General features: G+C 39.2%; 1 protein-coding gene across 9 annotated transcripts in view; it reads right to left on the bottom strand.

The window, feature by feature from the left end:
- CDH13 (cadherin 13) overlaps positions 1 to 22,226 on the bottom strand; it is a 1,173,672-nt gene that overhangs the window by 735,894 nt on the left and 415,552 nt on the right. Inside the window, exon 1 of one of the 9 annotated variants that reach the window (XM_011522804.4) lies at positions 6,092 to 6,196. The exons of the other annotated variants lie outside the window; for them this stretch is intronic. The gene's annotated coding sequence lies outside the window, so the exon portion shown is untranslated. Of the gene's footprint in view, positions 1 to 6,091; positions 6,197 to 22,226 lie in introns of those variants that run through there. 9 annotated transcript variants of the gene reach the window in all.

Here is a 22,226-nt window from a genome sequence, read left to right as displayed (position 1 = left end):
ATTATGACTTGCCAATCAAAAATAATAGTAAGAATAATTCTTTTAATTAAATACATTTTCTCCATCAAAAAGAAATTGGCTAGTCTGAATTGGAAAGTGAGCTAACATACTGGATTTCTAAAACTTAGTATGGAAAAAGTTATCTAAAATATCTCATTGCTTTTTATGTTGCTTAAATGATGGAATGATCATTATATAATAATCAGGTTAAAGAAGATATTGCTAATATTAATTTTCCTTTTTCTTTTTACTTTTTAAATATGGCTAGCAGAACATTTACATTTACATTTCTGGCTCACATTACATTTCTACTGGATGATGTTGCTAAAAAATCTGTTCCTAAATGACTTCAACAATACTCATATAACTTTCTTTTTTTTGAGACAGTCTCACTTTGTCACCCAGGCTGGAGTGCAATGGCACCATCTCAGCTCACTGCGACCTCCACCTCCCGGGTTCAAGCGATTTTCCTATCTCAGCCTCTTGAATAGCTGGGATCACAGGTGCATGCCACCACACCCAGCTAATTTTTGTATTTTTGATACAGATGGGGTTTCATCATGTGGGCCAGACTGTTCTTGAGCTCCTGACCTCATGGTCTGCCCACCTCGGCCTCCCAAAGTGCTGGGATTACAGGCATGAGCCACCGCACCTGGCCCTCATCTAACTTTATATTGATAAATCCAGAGTGTATATTTTTAGCTCTGAAATGTGAGACTCATACACTCATCTGACTTTTTCTGGCATCTCCGCTTGGACATCTTACAAATTTTTCATACTTAGCCTGCTTCAATCTTGATTCTGTCCCTTCCACTTGCCTCTCCCCAACTTGTCTCACTGTTCCCAGGACTCTCCCTGCAAAAATGTTACACAATTGCCTTTGAAGTTGTAAGAAGGGGTCACGACTGCCTCCAGAGACTGAAGAGACAAGGAACAAATGCTCCTTGGAGCCTCCAGAAGGAACCAGTTCTGCTGACACCTTGATTTTGGCCTTGTGAAACTCATTTTGAACTTTTGGCCTCCAAAACTAAAACAGAATAAATTTGTGTTGTTTTAAGCCACAAAGTTTGTGCTAATTTGTTCATAGAGTAATTAACAGGAAACTAGTAGAGATAAACAACATCTCCCTAATCCAGACACCCTATTACAACCATTGGCAAGTCTGGTCATGCTAACTACAGCTATATCTTCAGCTAAATCATCTCTGTCCATCTCTATTGCTATAACCTTAGGCTGGGTTTATCATAACAATGTCCTAACCATTCTCTCTGCGGGGTGGTTTGAAAATGGCTGCACATTCCTTGCCAATCTTCATGAAGAGCTGAATCTATTTCCCTTCCTCTTGATTTTGAGATAATCTTGGGCTGCTTTGACGAACAGAACACAGGGGAACTGATGGTGTGTAACTTCTGGGGCTGGGCCTCAAGAGAGCCATAGCTTCTGTTTTCATATGGTTGACCTGCTCCCTTTAAAAGCCAACCACCAGGCTGGGCGTGATAGCTCACACCTGTAATTCCAGCACTTTGGGAGGCTGAGGTGGGTGGATCACCTGAGTTCAAGAGTTCAAGGCCAGCCTGGCCAACATGGTGAAACCCTGTCTCTACTAAAAATACAAAAATTAGCCAGACGTGCTGGCACGTGCCTGTAGTCTCAGCTATTAGGGAGGCTGATGCAGGAGACTCACTTGAACCTGGAAGTCAGAGGTTGCAGTGAGCCGAGATCGCACCCTGAACTCCAGCCTGGGTAATAGAGCAATACTCTGACTCAAAAAAAAAAAAAAAAAATGCCAACCACCACATAAGACATCTGATTAGCTATGAGGGAGACAAAACAGCACATAGAATCACCAAGGTGCATGCAAAGAATCACCAAGGTGCCAGGTGTATGAGTGAAGCTTTCTTGGATTTTCCAGCCTAGCTAAGTTACCAGGTGAAAAAAGCTATGTGAAAGACCCAGTTGACAACCAGCTGAATCCTGCTGGAATTCTTGACCCACAGAAACATGACCACATAGAATGATTATTTCAAGTCTCTAAGTTTGGAGTAGTTTGTTACACAGCCATAGCTAACTGAAACACCTCTCTACCTGCTTTTATGACTGTTCTAATCCCCTGTCACACAGCAGCCAGCAGGGTCATCTTGCAGTTATTCTGACGATCACTTCCTTGCTTCCTGTTACATAGAGAAGAAAACTGAACTTCCATCCTCTGTCACTCTGTATCTCATGATCCCTGGGACCATGAGACATCACAAGAATCATTGACTATTTATGATGTAACTGCTATTCGATTAGAAATTCACTTACCACATTGATACTTCTTACTGAAGCACTACGTGTCAGGCACTAAGCTAAATGTTAAGGACATGGTAGGGCACTGATAGGAACTGGAGATGGACAAAAAACAAAAAAAGAAACAACGCTTTTAAAAATGTGAAAGTGTAACAAATGCTATGAATGGAAAACACACACAAGTGAGGTACTGTGATAGAAAACTGACAGGGGGTACTCAATTTAAGTAAGTTGATAAGGGAAGGCTTCTCTGAAGAGGTGATATTTAACCAGACAGTAAAATGAGAAAGATCTTTGACATCATTATTCCTAGAGCAGGCTCTGTCTTTCCAGATGCAAAGCTCAGAAACAGCATCCATCCAAGAGAGGCCACAGCACTCCATCTGGTTCTAAAGCCTCAGCCATCCTGATAGCATCCGTTTTGCTAAAATACTTCCCTCTTCCTTTTCCCATTCTCCATAAATTGTCACCCTGCCCAGCTCACTATCTCAGTTTCGAGCTCCAAATCACAGTTCTCACAGCCTCTCTAGAGGGCCTCTCCTTCAGGTAAGCATCTCCTGGACTATTGTGACATCTCAGGGCTGACATTAGCATGGGGCATTAAGGCAGGCATTGACCATCTGAAGTTGAATTACGTTTCAATTTTGCTGGGAGACTGAGACACAGATTCTTCATAAGTGCCGTATCTGGGGTGAGGCTTCTTTATTTTTGTTCTTTCTACTCATTTCATATATTTATCACTATACTTTTTAGCTCACTGGAGTTTAACTGGAGGCGTCTGGTTTCACTTAATGCAGTGCAAAGAGCAGCATGAGCCACTTCAGTGTCACAGTCATTTGGTGACAATTTTGCATTGGGTGCCCTGAATCCTCTGCTGCTGGTCATTCAGGACATAGGAGAACATCTTCCCTAGCACACCATGGGTGAGCTGGAAGAATTTTTAGCTGGGAAAGGCATTGCTCACTCATTTTCTGTATCTGGACCTGCCAGTTACTCATCCCATTGTATTCCGGGGTTGGCACAGGGAGAAGGTCACCAGGAAACTATTTTGGAAAGAGGATTAGCATAAACCATGATGCTGGGAATTCACATGGTGTAAGGGACACAAAAAATCCACTCATCCGGACAAAGCCCCTTTGCAACCCTGATGTACAGCCTCAATTGTCTACCATTAGAGTCACCTCTTGAGTTATCTCCAGGAGATGCTGATTTAAATATTCATGTGTGTGGACCACATAATTAGAAACTGACATTACACTAGACCAGGATCCTGGAAACCTGGGCCCTAGGTCCAACTCTCCTCCACTGTGCTGTGCAACTTTGGGAAAGACTGTGGTATCAGAGAGACCAAGGCTAGATTTCTCCTTTGTAAAATGGAGAGCGCAATACCTTAGTCCCCGTATTTATTCCTATATTCTTTGTGCCAAGGAACTTGTATTAAGCACCCACTATGTGCCAGGCCCTCTGCAGGAGTGTAGGAGTGAGAGTCATTAGCCATTGAGGGGAAGAGCCTGGTTGACAGAGGCATGCTTTCAGGTGAGAGAAAATGACTATTATCAAGTAGTACCAGTTGGAATAGGTTGTTTAAGGGGAAGTAAAGAGGCTGTGGAAGGCAGTGGAAGGCAACAGTGTCCCAGCTGAAAGCAAGGGTTCACAGCAGACTGTGAAAACAGACAATAGGTACAGAATAAGACAGTTATTACCTGCTTTTAAAAAATGTAAACCTGTGCATCCTAATGCAGAGATCTGAGATGTATTTGCACAGTGAGGTGAGGATAGCATTGCACTGCGGTTAGGCATGCAGGCTCTGGATTCAGATCTGAGCTCAACTTTTCCGGAGAGTTTCATTACTTACAAGTTATGAGGCAGTGGGAATGTTACTTAACCTTTCTACACCTCGACTGCCTCTCTGGGCCTCTTTATGAATTAGGCAATATGACATGAGTTAATGGAGGGGATGCAACAAGCCTAAGTCCTGGTTTGGAGTAAGGGCTCAGTAAACATCAGGAAGACTCTACAGTTCTCTTCCCTTTCACACTTTGTCTTTTCAAAGAAGGCCTGCAATTTATAATCCAAGTAAAGTTTTGTTCCTATACAAAAATGCTGGATTTTTAAGAATGGAGACCTACGCATTTATCAACATCCACAATTTTTCAGCTGGACTGACTCTCTGGGACAAATGACCTATATTCTTTAATTTGAACCAAAGAAGTTGTGGCAACAAAATACATCTGCTTTATATCCATCTTATATTAATATATTGTTTATCAATCAAAGGGGCACTGATAAAACAGAAAATCAGCTTTTTGAGGAGTTGGGAATTTTTGAAGCCATAGAGCTTTTGGGTTATGAGACGTAAAAGTAGGCCGGGTGCGGTGGCTCACGTTTGTAATCCCAGCAATTTGGGAGGCCGAGGCTTGCGGATCACAAGGTCAGGAGATCAAGACCACCCTGGCTAACACGGTGAAACCCCGTCTCTACTCTAAATACAAAAATATTAGCTGGGTGTGCTGGCGGGCACCTGTAGTCCCAGCTACTCGGGAGGCTGAGGCAGGAGAATGGCGAGAACCAGGAGGTGGAGTTTGCAGTGAGCCAAGATCCTGCCACTGCACTCCAGCCTGGGTGACAGAGCGAGACTCCTTCTAAAAAAAAAAAAAAAAAAAACAAACAAAAAAAAAAACAAAGGCAAAAGTCTGGATTAAGAAAGTTAGTGATACAGGGAGGTTTGAGGGATAAGCACCCTGTCTTTAAGCTCTATTGCAGATGTGATGTGTGTCATGGAACCAGAAAGTCAGCCTGCTAGCCTCAGTTTTCTCCTGACTGACTTGTCATGCAACAGCCTGGCTCTACCCAGATTGGTGGCCAAACCGTCTTGTGCCTGCTCTGAATGATGGAATCTCCGAAGAGTTCAATCTCTCATAAGAAACCTAGGCCATGGCAGACACCCGAGCGCCAGTGTTACATCCTTGCAGTCACCTCTGATTTCAGCAGCAGCTGCACTGGACAGTTCTTTTTGAGCACACACTCACCTGGCTCTCCCAGAGTTCAACCTAAGCTTACATGACTGCAAATCATCCTGCCCCAGATCTCTGACACATACAGGAACTTGTTCTAAACAGAAGGCAGTTAACACCCGCTCTCCCTGCTCCCAGGCAACTCTCAATCCATGGACAGTAGGGAGACTAGGAAAAAAGGCTCCAGTCCCTCTATTTTTCAGGTGGATGACTCTGAGAATTCTGAAAAGCATTTCATAGGGTTCCCAGAGGATCTGGGAGAATTGAAGAAATGAAGCCCCTGTGTACAGAAGCAACCTCAGAAATGCTCTTTTTTGATTGGCCTCCTTCCTCTTCTCAATGTCCCCATGAACTCACTTCTGCTTCCTGGGACCACCTCTCAGATCAAGTTCCTGCACCTGACCACTTGTCCTGGGCTTTTCTTCCCGGGAATCTCCAACTAAGGCAGATACAGTAAAACCGGGACATCCATCTTTGAATGAGAATGGATTAGATTTGCACATAACAAGAGGTTCCACCAGTTAAGAAGATTAAAAAAAGCAAAGCAAAGCAAGAAAATATCCTTGCAAAGCCTTGTTAGAGTCCTGGAAGAGAGATAATCTCATCACCAGATAGTTTCTGTGAGGTCAGCGTGTGTCAGCAGTAATTCTTTCTCTCAGACTGCACGTTTGTTTTTAAGACCATCCCAGATGCTGACTTCAAAAGCTTTCTAGTTTGTAATGCACTACATAAGACTCTTCTGTTTTCTTTCCTAAATATTTAGTTCTATTTACACAGGAGACACTTACACCACAACATCAGTATGGGAACATCATTAATGTTTTCTTCCTGTGTGGTCAGGGGAGCTCAGGAGTGGAGATTGGCCCCTAAAGTCCAGCCCTCACCAGCTATGCCATCTCTTGGCAACATGGTTGGAATTTGGACAAGAGCATTTGTTAGAATAAACGACGCCCCTGTCATCAGTGAGGTCACAAGAATGCATCTGTTGGGAAAAGGGGAAATGAATTATTTGGTACCCCCATGTTGAAACATAGGAACACCAAACCGCCAGAGAAGAACAAACACTTTTCTTGAAGAATTGGCCAGCGGCACACGCAGAAAACCCCACTTGAACAAAACGTGGAGGCGCTGCTACCTGGGCCTCTTTATTTGATGAGTGCAGCGAAATCCAGTTTTTCCCCAGTAACCAACAAAGATGAGAATAGAAAAAGCTTCTGAGAGTTCTGCCATCTCCCCTCACAAAGGAGAGGGGCTAAGGTCACACCCCAAGCCCGATAAAAGACGTAACTCATGAAGTTCAACAAACTAACTTTGTATTTAGAGCTAAAGAATGACATTTAACGATTTATATTTTTAAGAATATAGTGAAGATTTCATAGTTTTAGAAGTAAATATTCTTACTTTTGAAAGTAAAGTTGCTGTGAGTCATGATAATCCAAGACATGATTATCTTTGTTTTATTTTATTTTTTTAAAAAATATCATTTGTAAGACATTTCCCCGACCCCATTTTAATGCCTTCAAAATTAGGGAGGAACCTTACCATTGATGTTAAGGAATTACTGTGTGCAGGTTTAAGCGTCAGCATTTTTCTTTCTTAGTACCATAAAAAATACAAGTGTGCTGGAAGCACACTCTGGTCTTAACATCTACCCTCACCCCTTTTCTGGAGTGGGAGGTGATCTTATCTTAGACGGTTTAAAATTAGTATTGTCAAGTCTTAAGAATATTCAAGACAGCTCAGGTCAAAGGGAATGGCCAGGAAGAAAGGCTAGAAACTGGTTTATAGATGGTTTTGTGTGTCATGCTAAGGATTTAGCCTTACAGCCTCAGTGGTGAGCCTTTTTTTTTTTTTAACAATAGAAAGTGGCAGTAAAAGATACTTGCTAACTCAATAAAAGCGGGAGTCATCCAATTACTACTTTTGAAAAAAACTTACTTTTAACTTTCTAATTAAAGCATAACATGTATCATTCATATATTAAACTGCAAAAGTGTAAGTGTACAGTTTGGTGAATTTTTTTTGAGTGAACACACCTATGTCACCACCATAAAGATGAAGACATACAACTCTGTCATGATCTCAGAAACCTCCCTCAGGCCCCTTCCAGTCATCACCTTTTCAAAGGTAACCACAAGTATTAGTCTGTTCTCAGGTTGCTAATAAAGACATACCTGAGACTGGGGTGCAGTGGCTTACACCTGTAATGCCAGTACTTTGGGAGGCCCAGGCAGGTGGATCACGAGGTCAGGAGATCAAGACCATCCTGGCCAACATGGTGAAACCCCATTTCTCCTAAAAATATAAAAATTAGCTGGGTGTGGTGGCACGTGCCTGTAATCCCAGCTACTTAGGAGGCTGAGGCAGGAGAATCACTTGAACCAGGGAGTCAGAGGTTGCAGTGAGCTGAGAATGCACCACTGCACTCCAGACTGGCGACAGAGTGAGACTCCATCTCAAAAAACAAACAAACAAACAAAAAAGAGTAAAAAAGGTTTAATGGACTCACAGTTCCACATAGCCGGGGAGGACTCACAATCATGGCAGAAGGTGAAGGATGAGCAAAGGCACATCCTACACGGCAGCAGGCAAGAGAGCGTGTGTAGGGAACTCTCTTCTATAAAACCATCAAATCTCGTGAGACTTATTCACTATCACGAGAACAGCATGGGAAAAACCCACCCCCGTGATTCAATTACCTGCCACTGGATCCCTCCCGTGACATGTGGGGATTATGGGAGCTGCACTTCAAGATGAGACTTGGATGGTGACACGGCCAAACCATATCACCACCATCCTGGCTCAATATAGATTAGTTCACATCACCATCTATAGCTCAACAGAGATTAGTTAGTTCTGCCTGCTGTTGAACTTCATTTCCATAGGATATTCCCTTCCCTATCTGGCTTCTTTCATGCAATGTTATGCCTATTAAGTTTATCCATATTTTTGAGCATAATAACAGTTGCTTTTTTTTTTGCTATGTATTTGGTATATACATATGATATATGTGCCAAAATTTATCCATTTGTCCCTTGATGGACTTTTGAGTTGTTTCCAGTTTTTAGCTATTACAAAGTGTTATTCTGGACTTTCTTGTAAGAGCCTTTAGTGTACATGTGTATACATTTGTTTTAGTTATAGATCTGGAAGTAGGATTTCTAGGTCAAGAATGTTCAGCTTTACAGTGTGTGAGAATTCTGATTGCCACACGTCCTTGCTATTGTTATTATACTTACTTTTTAAATTCTAATTAATTTTCACATGTGTGTATAATAGTATCTGAATAATTTCCGTGTAGTTTTCCTTTGCATTTCCTTGATGACTAGTGATGCTAAAAACCTTTTAATATGTTTAGTGGTCATGTAGATATCCTCTTTTGTTAAAAGCCTGTTAAATATTTCCTCCATTGTTAGTTGGGTTCTCTGCCCTTTTGTTATATTTTTGTAGGAGTTGTTAACATGTCCTAGATAAATGTCCTGTAATAGACCCATATATTACAAAGATTTTTTTTCCACTGTATAGCCTGCCTTTTCACTTTCTCAATGATGTATTTTGATGAGCACAGGTTTTTACTTTTATTGAAGTCAAATTTATCTACCTTCTCATATACATTCATTAGAGAGACTGGCTTATAATTTTTCCTTCTTTCAATGTTTATGTCAGTTATTGCAAAGAAGATTATGTTGGCCTTCAGAAAGAAGCTGGAAAGCGTTTCATTTTTTTTCTATTTTACAGAAGAGTTTGCATAAGATTAGTGTATTTTCTTCTTTAAAAGTTTGGTGGAATTTACCATGAAGCCATCTGGACTTGGAATTATCTTAGGCTACAGAGTTTTCATTTAATAAATGTAGAACTTACCAGATTTTATATTTCTTTTTTTTTGGTATGCTTTGGTACACTGATTTTTTATTTATTTTACAGAATTTGCCAGTTTTAATTTTCAAATTAATTTTTATAAATGTATTAACAATGCCTTCTTCTTTTTTCTTATTCTTGAAAGATCTCTAGTGCTGTCTCCATTTGTTTAATTAGCCATAGTGTCTTTTCTTTTTTTTTTCTTAATTACCCTTACTAGGGACTATTGATATCAAGTTACAGAACTTTCAAAGAACAAACTTTATTGACTTATCCTCTTGCATGTCTACTTTCTATGTTATAAATTGTATTTTTGTTATTTCCTTCCCTCCATTTTATTAGAGTTAAATTTGGTGTTCTCTGATTTATATATGCATTCAAGGTTGTAAATCTTTCCTCTACTTTATCTGGATTCTCAAGTTTTGTTATGTTGTATTTCCATTATATTCCATTCAAACTATTTTCTACTTCTTACTATTATTTCTTATTTTACCCATGGAATATTTCAACATATATTGCATAGTTTCTAAATATGTGGGGATCCTTTAGTTTTTTTGTTATTAATTTCTGTTTTAAATTTAAAATGGTCAGAATATACAATCTGTATGATTTCTATCTTTTGAAACTTGTTTGGATGTACTCTATGACCAGCCTACAATATATTGATAAGTATTCCACGTGAACACTGCAGAATGCATACCCTTAGTTTTTGTAAATTTTGTTAGAACCAAATTTTGTTTAGTAAAATCTATATTACAGATTTTAGTGAAATTTTTATTACTCTTTTTTATATTTAGACTACTTGTTATATCAGCTATGTAGAAATGTGTTAAAGTTTTCAGCTATGATGATGGGTTTTTCTATTTTGACTACTTCTATTATATATATTAGTTTTATTTTATACACCAGTCACCCTCTTATCTGTAGTTTTGCTTTCTGTAGTTTTAGTTACCTATAGTCAATTGCAGTCTGAAAATATTACATGGAAAACTTCAGAAAGAAATAATTTGTAAGTTTTAAATTCTGAGCCATTCTGAGTAGTGTGACTAAATATCCTGCTGTCCTGTTCTGGACATGAATCATGGCTTTGTCCGGTGTATCCACACTGTACATACTATCCCATTAGTTACTCAGTAGCTGTGTAGTTATGTCAACTGCTGAGATATCAGTGCTTGTATGCAAGTAAGCTTTATTTTACTTAATGGCCCCAAAGTTCAAGATTAGTGATGCTGGCATATTACTGTAATTGTTCTATTTTACTATTCGTTATTGTTTTTAATCTCTGATTGTGTCCAATTTATAAATTAAACTTTGTCATATTTGCATATGTATAGGAAAAGCATACTATAGTCATGCGTTACTTAACAAGGATATGTTCTGAGAAATGCATTGTTAGTTGATTCTGGCATTGTGCAAACAATACACAGTGCACTTATATAAACCTAGATGGTATAGCTTACTACACACCTAGGAAATACGGTATAGCCTATTGTTCCTAGGCTATAAACCCGTACAGTATGTTACTGTGCTGAATACTGTATGCAGTTGTAACACAATGGTATTTGTGTATTTAAACATATCTAAACACAAAAAGTACAGTAAAAATATGGTATTATAATTTTATGAGATCACCATCACATATGTGGTCCGTCATTGACCAAAACGTTGTTATGTCACACGTGACTATATACATACACAGACTTTGCTACTATCAGAGGTTTCAGGTACCCGGTCGGGGTCTCGAAATGTGTTTCCCATAGATAAGGGGGGCTGCTGTATATGTTACTGGATGCATCCTAATTTGGAATTATTATATCTGCCTGCTGTATAGTTCTATAAATATGATATAGCGTTCTTTATCTGTAGCGATACTTCTCTCCTTAAAGTCTATTTCCTCTGATAATAGCATAGCTCTATCAACTTTCTCTTGGTTAATATTTACAGGATATATTTTCTTACTTTTTTTCATTTTCTATTTTTCTGTACCCTTCCATTCAAGGTCTATCTAATTTAAGAAACATATATCTATTGCTTTAAAATTCAGCCAATCTGTTTTCAATTGGTGTGTTTATCAATTTATGCTCCTGGGTTCTCATGTGCTTCTCCTATACTTCACTTTACCTTGATAAATCTTCTTACTGTGAATTGATCTTATCTGCATTATCCTAATGTGAGTGTGTCTTCTGATACCCCAGGAGAGAGGTTGTCTGAAAATGAAGACATATAGAAAGCCAAAAAAGAAAGAAGGGAAGAAAGGATAACAGAGTCCTAGTGACACCTCCCGAGACCTAATATTAAGGTTATGATACCTTTTTAACTCCTATATTAAGTTACAGCTAAAGCCAGAACTCTCCATCCCTAGGCATTTTAACAATGAATACCATATAAAGACATATTCTGTGGTCATTCTCACTTTATTAGATGATATTATTTAATTCTTACTATGTTCCAGGCATCTTTCTAAGAGCCTCACATGAATTATCTCATTCAACTCTAATTTAACTCCTGGAAATTCGTACTATTTTTATTCCCATTTCACCAACAGAAAAAGTTAGGCCTTCGAAAAGAATGTGTCCCAAACCACAAGGCTTATGGTCTCACTGCATTGCCTCTTTCACGGTCTTCTATCGTGGAAAGAATCACCAGAATATCTTTAGGCTTTGGCCCAATCTGTACAACCTATTTTACTTTCCCAATCACCGCTTTATAAAATAGCTTTTTTATTAATCATTGCTGATGATCTGTCTTTTCTATTTTGCTATTTAAGGTTTAATTTCTTTCTTTTTTTTTTTTTTTTTTTTTTTTTTTTGAGATAAAGTCTCGCCCTGTCACCCAGGCTGGAGTGCAATGGTGCGATCTTGGCTCACTGCAGTCTCTGTCTTCTGGGTTCAAGCAATTCTGCCTCAGCCTCCCGAGTAGCTGGGATTAAAGGCGCGCACCACCATGCCTGGCTAATTTTTGTATTTTTAGTAGAGACAGGGTTTCGCCATGTTGGCCTGGCTGGTCTTCAACTCGTGACCCCAGGTGATCTGCCCGCCTTGGCCTCCCAAACTGTTGGGATTACAGGCGTGAGCCACCACAACAGCCAAGGTTTTATTTCTGAAAGTTCCATTTTGGCTTTTCTAAATGTTCTTAAATGTTGTATAGTTTGTCATAACATATTTGCTATGAAAACATGATTGTGGTTTTCTGCCATGTATGGTGGAATTCAGGGACAGATGAAAATATATGAACCTGAATTGTTAATCTTACATCTTATTTCTATAGGATGGTGTGCTGCTTCTTGCCAAAGAAATGTTGACAGTCTGGATTTATAACAATGCATTCAAAAACCTTGAAGTTTTATAACAGAAAATAATGTATCATTAGGTGCTCTGAAAGGATAATGAGGCATTTACTACTTCTTGCTCATTTTGGTAAAGGTTTCTAAAAATAAATATTAAGTCGTATGGACATGGCATACGGATCATTCATGAAGTAAGCAGAGAATGCATGATATAGTTAGCTGCTTGAATTATTTCTCTATCAATTATTCATGCTTCTAATTTATCTAACCATTTTCCTTCTCTTACAATATCTGAATTATTCTCATTTCCACATGACATGAGAGAATTAATGTTAACAAGGACAAAGTTAACAACAAAAAAAAAATTAAATGGTTGGCCAAAGAAACCATAGTCCAAATAAATCAAGGAAAGAAAGACGCCTCAGAAAAGAGGGCTGTGTCTCTTAGGGGTAACAGACTCAAAGTTTTCGGTCTGTTTCCTACAGGGATTTGAACACTTCATCCTTCATAAGACAACAAATAATGTGATGGATAATACAAGTCATAACTAGAGTTACAGGGATGGTAGCAGGAGGTTCAGATCTGGCTGCTGTGGTCCATAAGCAGAGGTTTACTTAAGAGATCTTGCTCTAAGTGGGAACTTGGCATGTTTGTGAAGAATCCGGAGTGTCTTAATGAAATCCAGATAACAGAGCCACCCACATGCAATCATTGTAAATTATGGAATTTGCAAATCTTGTAAGTATATGATGTTTCTGTAGCATTATTTTCACCATGATTAATTACAGATCTCAAAGAAAGCAAAAATGAAAAGAAATTCCTAGTACCAGGTTTACCTATTGGTATCTAGCATTTGTTTGGCTAAAAATATACATTGTTACATAATAAATCAAGAGTTATTGGTTTTACTGATGCCACAGCTCTTAATCTGATCCTCATTCCTGTAAACCTATTGCAACCCACTTATGCCATCCCTTAGAGATAGATGTGGAAGGAAACATACCATTTTCAGTGAACATAGAAGATAAGCAGCTTACTTTGGTAGGAGAATCACATGAATGACAGGGAATTGTGAGGGCTGAAAGTGACAAAGCAGGTTGGGACTCATTTCGTTGTGGCTCAGTAAGCATGGGAAGACTGACAGCCTTTGAAGAGGGCATGATATGATCACAGTTATTCTTTGGGAAGTCAATTAGATAGTAACAGGCACGCAGATTGGATCACAGGAAAAGGGAGAAAGATAAACTTAAAAGAAAGTGGCCCTGTCTTGGCTGGATAAGAGGAAATGATGTTCAAACCAGTTGTGACCACTGTAATGAAGAGTTTGCAGGTAGAAACCACATGGGAGAGAGAGAAAGGATAAGAAGTACCACTGACCTCCCAGGTGGTGAGGAACTAAAGACAAATACAAGGTGGTGGGTTCAGGTGCATGGGAAGACGAGGATGGCACTGCAAGAAACCGTGCACTTAGGAAGATGAGGTAAGGAAGTAATGAGGTAATGAGGTACAGGTGTTCAGACTCACACAGTTAACCCCAGTATGAGCGTTCAGAAACACACAGTTAACCCCGAGAGGCAAGTGAAATGTACGGGTGGAGATGCGCTGTAGACACGATGGACCTGAGGTCAGAAATGAAGCTATAAATTTGGAGACATGCTGAAGAAGAGATCTTTAAAGCTGCTAGGTTGGATAAAATTGTTGAGGATGGTAGAAAACAGCAAAGGAAAATCAAGACAGGAAATGGACAGGCACTTCCAATGGCAGGAGGAATAAGAAGAAGAACTAGAGGAAGAAAATATATGGGTTTCTATACAGAAAGAGTGGGAGAACAAGGACAGTATGGTGTCTTAAACAGCAAACGGAAGAGCATTTCAAGGACTGCCAATGCTCTGCTGGGAATTAAAGTGGTTCAGCTGCTGTAGAAGACAGTTGGGTGACTTCTCAAAGAGTTGAATATAGAATTATCATATGAGCCAGCAATTCCACTCCTAGGGGACAGTTGGGTGGTTTCTCAAAGAGTTGAACATAGAATTATCATTTGAGCCAGCAATTCCACTCCTAGGTATAAACCCAAAAGCAAGTTATAACTAGAGTTATGGCGACAGTAGGCAGAAGGAGGCCCGGGTCTGGCTGCTGTGGTCAATAAGCAGGGTTTTTTTTAAGAGATCTTGCTCTAAGTGGAAACCTAGCATGTTTGTAAAGAATCCTGAGTATCTTAATGAAATCCAGATAAGAGAGCCACCCCCATTCAATCATCATAAATTATGTAATTTGTAAATCTTGCAAGTATACAACGTTTTTGTAGCATTATTATTACTAACAATTACTATTTTTGTAGCATCATCTTAATGAAATCCAGATAATAGAGCTGCCCACACTCAATCATTGTAAATTATGTAACTCATAAATCTTGTAAGTATGCAATGTTTTTGTGGCATTATTGTCACTGTATTTACAAATAAAAAATTAGTACTCAAATACATTTGCACACAGGTTGGTAGCAGTGTTGTTCATAACAGTCAAAAAAGCCCAAATGGCCATCAACAGATGAATGGGTAAACAATTTGTGGTCCATCCACATAAAGGAATATTGCTTATCCCTAAAAAGGAATGAAGTAGTGATACATGCTATAATGTGGATGAACCTTGCAACATTATGCAAAGTAAAAGAGGCCAGTCATTCACGCCTGTAATCCCAGCACTCTGGGAGGCTGAGGCAGGCGGATCACGAGGTCAGGAGATTGACACCATCCTGGCTAACACGGTGAAACCCGGTCTCTACTAAAAAATACAAAAAATTAGCTGGGTGTGGTGGTGGGCACCTGTAGTCCCAGCTACTCGGGAGGATGAGGCAGGAGAATGGCCTGAACCCAGGAGGTGGAGCTTGCAGTGAATAGAGATCGCACCACTGCACTCCAACCCCAACCTGGGCGACAGAGTGAGACTCTGTCTCAAAAAAAAAAAAAAAAAAAAAGAGGCCAGTCATAAATGCCCAAGTATTGTATGATTTCATTTATATTATATATAAAAATAGGTGATACATAAAGCCAGGAGCTGGGGAAGGGAGAACATGCTTAACAGGTATACAGTTTCCTTTTGGGTTAACAGAACCATTTTGGAACTAGATAAAGGTAGTGGTTGCACAACATTAGAAAGTAATTAAGTATCGCTTGCTTAATTTTATGTTATGTAAATTTTACCTCAATAAAATTAAAATTAAAAATTAATTGCTTCAGAGACTTCAAGCAGCCTCAGGACTAAGAAACAGTTGAGGGAAATCAGCTGTTCAGTTTCCACGACCTTCAAAAGAGAGAATTTTCACCAAAATGTTGAGGACAGGAGCTCCATTTCGGAGTATTAAGGTATGAACTTGCAAGGAAATAGAGATGTTGAGTGAAGATGGCTTTCAACAAGACTGGGGAAGGGAGGCAGCGATTTGAAGGAGAAATAATTTGGTTTCGCCTGGGAAGATTTGACCACGTTTGGAGGCTGGGGGAGGATTCACAGAGGAGGGAAAATTTAAGATGTAAGAGTGTGAGGGGAAATGCGAAATGAAGAAAGAGGCAGAAAAGAGTGAGTTCAAGGGTACAAGTGAAGGGATATGTCATGAAAAGGAGGAAGAATCGGTCTTTCTCTGAGAGGGAGGAAAGGAGTTAGGGGTACTCAGAGATGGAAAAGGGAACTGAAATGGATGGTATGAACTTTTCTCAGCAGAGGAACCCGCAAGGCCAGCTACAGAAAACTGTAGGCACTAGAGTACAACTTACTGCTTTAGGTAAATGGAAAAGCCTTAGAGTGGTGCTCAAGGTGAAGAGCAATAAATTAAAGATGAATAATTACAGGGTAGCAATAAGGGCAGGAACCTGCAGAGAGGGAGTTGGCACAGGTCCAGGAGCGTGAATACCTCATCAACCAAGTCATTTTCGTATCACCCCCATCCTGTGTTTCAGAAATTCTTTTGCCCATCTATTGGGCTTCATATTTATACCTGCTGAGTATCAATTTATTAATTTCAGTCAATCCTTATACATGCTTGAGTTCTTTTCAAAACTCAAGGCTATTGTACAATGGGAATACCTGAGTTATGAAAGTTTCAAAGTAACCAACTTGTGTTCATATCTTGGTCTCCATCACTGAGATGAAAGCAATTAAATTCAATTAGATTTCTGCATGCGGAAATCATTCTCCAGGACGACACAGATTATATTTTAACCCTTTTGGATACAGCTATTCAACCAACCTGAATCTACTTTACTGTAATAATATTCAGTTCATATTTTTCTATTGTGACAAAAAAGATAACATATTTTGTTAAATGTTTTTTTGAGGAGTCTGAGTGCAAAAATATGTCTCCAAAATATTCTAGATGTATGACCCTGTGCTGGTCACACATAGTCTCCCCGTCTTCCTTTATTCACCTGTAAAATGAAGATAAAATAGGACCTATATTATAGAGTTATTATAAAGATTATATGACTTAATGTAAGAAATGCACTTAAAGTGGTGCCCCGCACAACGTTTGAGCTAAATAAATTGACTACGATCTGCATTATTAATATCAATATTCATTCTGTCTCCAGCATTTGCTAAGTCATTAAGAAATTATTTATTCACAGCCAGATATTGTAAGTGCTAGATTTATAGCAACGAACAAGTCAGTCAAATCTCTGCCATTATGGAGCATATTATTTTATTTATGCAGAATTTGGGAAAATACAGGGAGCTTTTTTTCTGTTTGTATTTTAAAAATTCAGTTTTTAGGTCTTCTTTCTTATCCTCCCCTTCCATGCAGAGAAAATATTACGCAAAGGCCTGAGGGAAAGAGGAAATTACAGATAACAAGGTAAATAAGACTGGTGGTCACGCTCTTACAGACTAGGCTTTGTTAACAAGGGCCAAATCGAATAAGGGACTTGGAATAAAAAAGCACTCAAGTCTCAATTATCTGTGTTAACCACGGTTTACGAGAATGGACAATGCAAGGACAGAAATAATGCATTTTGATTAGATGACTTAAATTCACAGCAGAGGCCTTTACCAAAAAAATAAATAAATAAATAAATACACAGGCCTCTGGAGTAAGAGTGAGGGGCAGGAGGTGGTCTTCAGATAAAGTCTGCTTATAGTCTGCAGACCTTTCCTTGGGTCTCACGGAGAACTACTACTGTTTAAAGCTTTATATCTTCAAAGGAAGGAAGTTGTAAAAAGTTGCTGTCAAAGGAATCCTAATTTGCCTGACTCGATGAAGGGGTTGGTTGACAGTGCACATTCTCTGTCAAAGGATTTGCTGCAGAAAGATAGACAGTTGAGGAAACCATCTGATTTCCATAAACAGCTGGGAGGCAGGAGACACAGTGTAGCCATCGGGGAAAGGGAAAGCCCTCTCTTGGATCTCATGTCCAGTCTTCTCTGATTGGCAGAAGACAGAAAGAGCAGCAGGAAGGATTTCACAATCCTCCCTTCTGAATTGTTTGTAACAAGGTTGGAGAGGAAGGGTGGCACCAGGGTCAGAGCAACAATCTCAGGCCAACTGAAGGCAGCCTCACTATCTAGGAGGCATTCTGGGGCTGTTGCTTGGAAGACAGTCTGAAGTTTTTTGAGCCCTTTTGCCTCTGAGTAGCCCTCAAATATCTGTAGTTACTCCTTCCCCTAGGGAAGCACCTGCTCTGTTAAAGGCCTTCCCAGTGGGCTATTTCCTCCAGTCTTTGAAGACAAGGAATTGCTAAGAGCTATAAGATGTGATTTTTGTTTGCATTTGAAATTTTCCTGCCTATGTTTTAATGTATTGATGTATAAAATTCTCAAAACATATATGGGATATTATTTAAAAGTTTTCTTTTCTTTTCTTTTTCTATCCTTTTTCTTAGAGAATTGACTTTCTTTGTGTGATAGAGAAAGAAAAATAAGTGTTTGCCAAATTGGTTTTCTGCTGGAAGAAAAACAGTTGTCTTATGTTTTGATGGCCGCCTACATACAATATTTGTTTTTTGATGGTTGCTACTTCCTACCTAATTAAGAAAGATAGAAGCAATTCAGCAAATAACAATATCTGCCACTGCTATGGGCCCCAGTGAGATGAAGGCTTTCCTCTTATTTTTTAAATGTGGCACTTCTAAGGGGTATGGACCAGAGGAAAAGAGGTTTCTATTTATTTATTAGAAGCCATCAAAAAAAGACAACATCAACTATGATGAGATTAGGCCTTGAGACTAGACTTGGCTTTGCTTAAACAAGCAATTGGGCTGAGAATCAAACAGCACCAACAGTCTGGCCCAACAGCAGATGCCACCCTGGCAACTATCACACATCACTCCCAGGCCAAAGGGTCCAAAAGTCCACAGGCATCTGCCCAACATGGGTAGACTGGAGGATGTATTTGGCTAGGGCCAAATAGGCTAATTTTTCTACAAACATTCAGGCTTCTGCCTGAAAACTTTGGATGAGACCATGTAATTTGATCATCCCATGTGCTGGGTGGAAAAAGACTGAATAAATGGTACCTCTTCCCCTGTTTCTTTACTGCCTAAGTTTTGGGTGTTGAGAACAGAGAATCAAATAGAGAAAATCCATGGTCTTTATCAAACACTGTATTTTCTCATCATTGGAGATGTTTTTTTCCCTTGAGAAATGCAGACCCATCTTTTTTTTTTTTTTTTTTTTTTTTTAAAGGAATCTTGATCTGTCGCCCAGACTACACTGCAGTGGCGTGATCTTGGATCACTGTGACCTCTGCCTCCTGAGTTCGAGCGATTCTCCTGCCTCAGCCTCCCAAGTAGCTGGGATTACAGGCACCTGCCACCACGCCTGGATAATTTTTGTATTTTTAGTAGAGATAGGGTTTCACCATCTTGGCCAGGCTGGTCTTGAACTCCTGATATCGTGATCCACCTGCCTCAGTCTCCCAAAGTGCTAGGATTACAGGTTTGAGCCATCGCCCCCAGCCAACCCATCTCTTACAGAGAGACTTGGCAGACATTTACATTTGGAAATCTCATGCTATTTCCATGAGATTCTACTTCCAAAGGTTCTGTTCACGAGGAAAGTTTTATTAATGGGTCATGATGACACAGGACTTGTCTACTTGCCTAAAATTTCTCTGGGAGTTTTGCATAGTTTTGTATTAATTTTTATTGCTAACTACTTTGAGATTACTCTATGTCATTTAATCTCTAATAGGAGTCATGCCGACCGCAAAGCCGGCAGTGACCAAGTATCTCCATGTGAATCTCTCTGGGAGTTGCAGATAAGAGAGGAATTGTAAAAAGAGGTTATCATCCCTATATTTACATTTAGAATTGACTAGTATTTGATTTATGGTAATAACAAGAGATAGGAGGGTAGAAGCATATCAGAGAGCCTAGAAAATGTACATTTTATTACATTATCTTGTTCTATCCTATATACTAGCTGGAAATTTACCTCTGACAACACTATATTCCATCTATGTGAAAGCCCCGAGCAGCTGCTGGGGAGCTAACTATGGCTGCAGCGATGCACTTGGGAAAGCCTGTGGATGGCCGCACTGGCTGCCACTCAACCAACTCCACGACCGCGACCTAAGACCCACCTCTGAGTCTCACTGTCCTCACTCAGAAAACGAAAAACACACCATCTGCATCCAGGCATTGTTGTGAGCTTAAATCGGGTAATGCATATATAAACAAAGTTGTAAATTATAGTTTTAAAAATATAAACGCAAGACGTTTTCTCTAGCCTATGGGACTATGAAGATGAATGAGATCAGGTCCCTGGCCTGGGAGAAATTTACATTTAGACACCTCGTGCTGTTTCCACAAGGTTCTTTTTGTAAAGGTTCTATTCACAGGAAAAGTTTTTAAAATGTGTCATGACAATACAGGGCTTGCCCACCTTCCTAAAATTTCTTTAGGAGTTTTGCTCAGCTCTGGATTTATTTTTTATTACTAACAACTTTTTAATTTCCTATGCTATTTCAGGAAATTTACTGAAAAATAGAAAAGCACAATAGTTCTGCCATAAATGTCAGTATTAGCAAAATAGCAATGACTCCACAAAATCAGAAGGCCCAGCTCAACTTCCAGTCCTGCCACTTACTGATGGATGATGGCACTGGTTAAGTTACTTAACTTTTCTGAGCCTGAGCTACTTCTGCATCTGGAATATAGGAACAGGCTAGCTATAGGAGAAAAACAGATGGATGTGTGAGGGGCTCTAAGGCCAAAGGCAATGTTCTAACATGTGGTAGGAACTCAGTGAATGATCCTTTCCATCCTTTCAAAAAATGCAATATTCCTGTAGAACTGTAGAGCATCCTATCTAATCCTTAGCTATTCACTGCTTGTGCTTATTAAGTACTTAAAAATTAAATACTCTAAATTGAGATGTGCCTTAAGCATAAAATATATACTACATTTCAATGACTTAATATGAAAAGAAGAATGTAAAAAGGTATCTTATGAATAATGTTCATATTGATTTTTTTTTTTTTTTGAGATAGAGTCACACTTGCTCCGTTGCCCAGACTAGAGTGCAATGGCATGACCTAGCAGTTCCCCTGCCTCAGCCTCCTGAGTAGCTGGGATTACAGGCATGCACCACCATGCCCAGCTAATTTTTGTATTTTTAGTAGAGATGTGGTTTCACCATCCTGGCCAGGCTGGTCTCAAACTCCGGGCCTCAAGTGATCCGCCTGCCTTGGCCTCTTAAAGTGCTGGGATTACAGGTGTGAGCCATTGTGCCTGGCCTTGATTACTTGTTGAAATGATAATATGTTAGATATATCTGTTATACATACACACACACACACACACACACACACACACACACACACTCATATATACAGTTATTATATAAATTATTAAAGTTAATTTCACTGGTTTCGTTTTTTAACATGACTATAAGAAAACTTTAAATGACATACGTGGCTTTCATTACATTTCTATTGGACCATGCTCCTGTATAAAATAAAATTTAGAATTTTCAAAAGCCAAAAAGAAGCCATTTTTAGTTATCTATACTTTCTATGGGATCAGTTTTTCCCCCAAGAATTTCAATTAAAATTAATCTCCAGAATATAGTTTTCTTAGATTCTGATCCTTAAAGTAATCTGTTATCTATTTAAATTAATGAATTGAAGGATGTCTTTTTATCTATATATGAATAGTATCCTGGAGCTAAGAGCCACATAAACATAACAATTTAGGCATGTGTCAAGATGTAACAGCCTATTATTGAATTCTAGGCCCAATTCTTGGATCCGTACAATAATTTTCAAGCTATATATTTTCTCCACTTTAGGTGACAGTTAAATGGATACTAACTTTCCTTAACAGTACCTGGGGAGGCTTTTGCCATGGAGCATGGTACTTCACAGGTTTTTTGAAGTTATCACACTTGTTAAATCAGGGCATATTAAGTGTCCACATCTTTAACTCATCATTTCTTTATGGTCACAGCAAATGTGCAGATTCATTCTCCACTGGGATTGTTGTAAAACATATTTCATGTAAGCAGGATCGATATAATCACCCAAGTCAACAGATTCCATGTCACTCCCAGTCAATGTGAGACGGTTTAGAGACAAGGTAATTAATTTACCACGAGCTTGTTGCTCTCATTTTCAGGAATTATTTAGAGCAGCAGTCCCCAGCCTTTTTCGGCACCACAGACCCGTTTCATGGAAGACAATTTTTCCATGGACTGAGGGTGTTCATGGTGGCGGTTTTGGGATGATTCAAGTGCATTACATTTATCATGCACTTTATTTCTATTATTAGTTAATTGTAATATACAATGAGATA

This window comes from Homo sapiens, chromosome 16 (assembly GCF_000001405.40).
Source record: "Homo sapiens chromosome 16, GRCh38.p14 Primary Assembly".
NCBI classification, from domain to species: Eukaryota; Metazoa; Chordata; class Mammalia; order Primates; family Hominidae; genus Homo; species Homo sapiens.
This window is presented reverse-complemented; position numbering and strand designations above follow the sequence as displayed.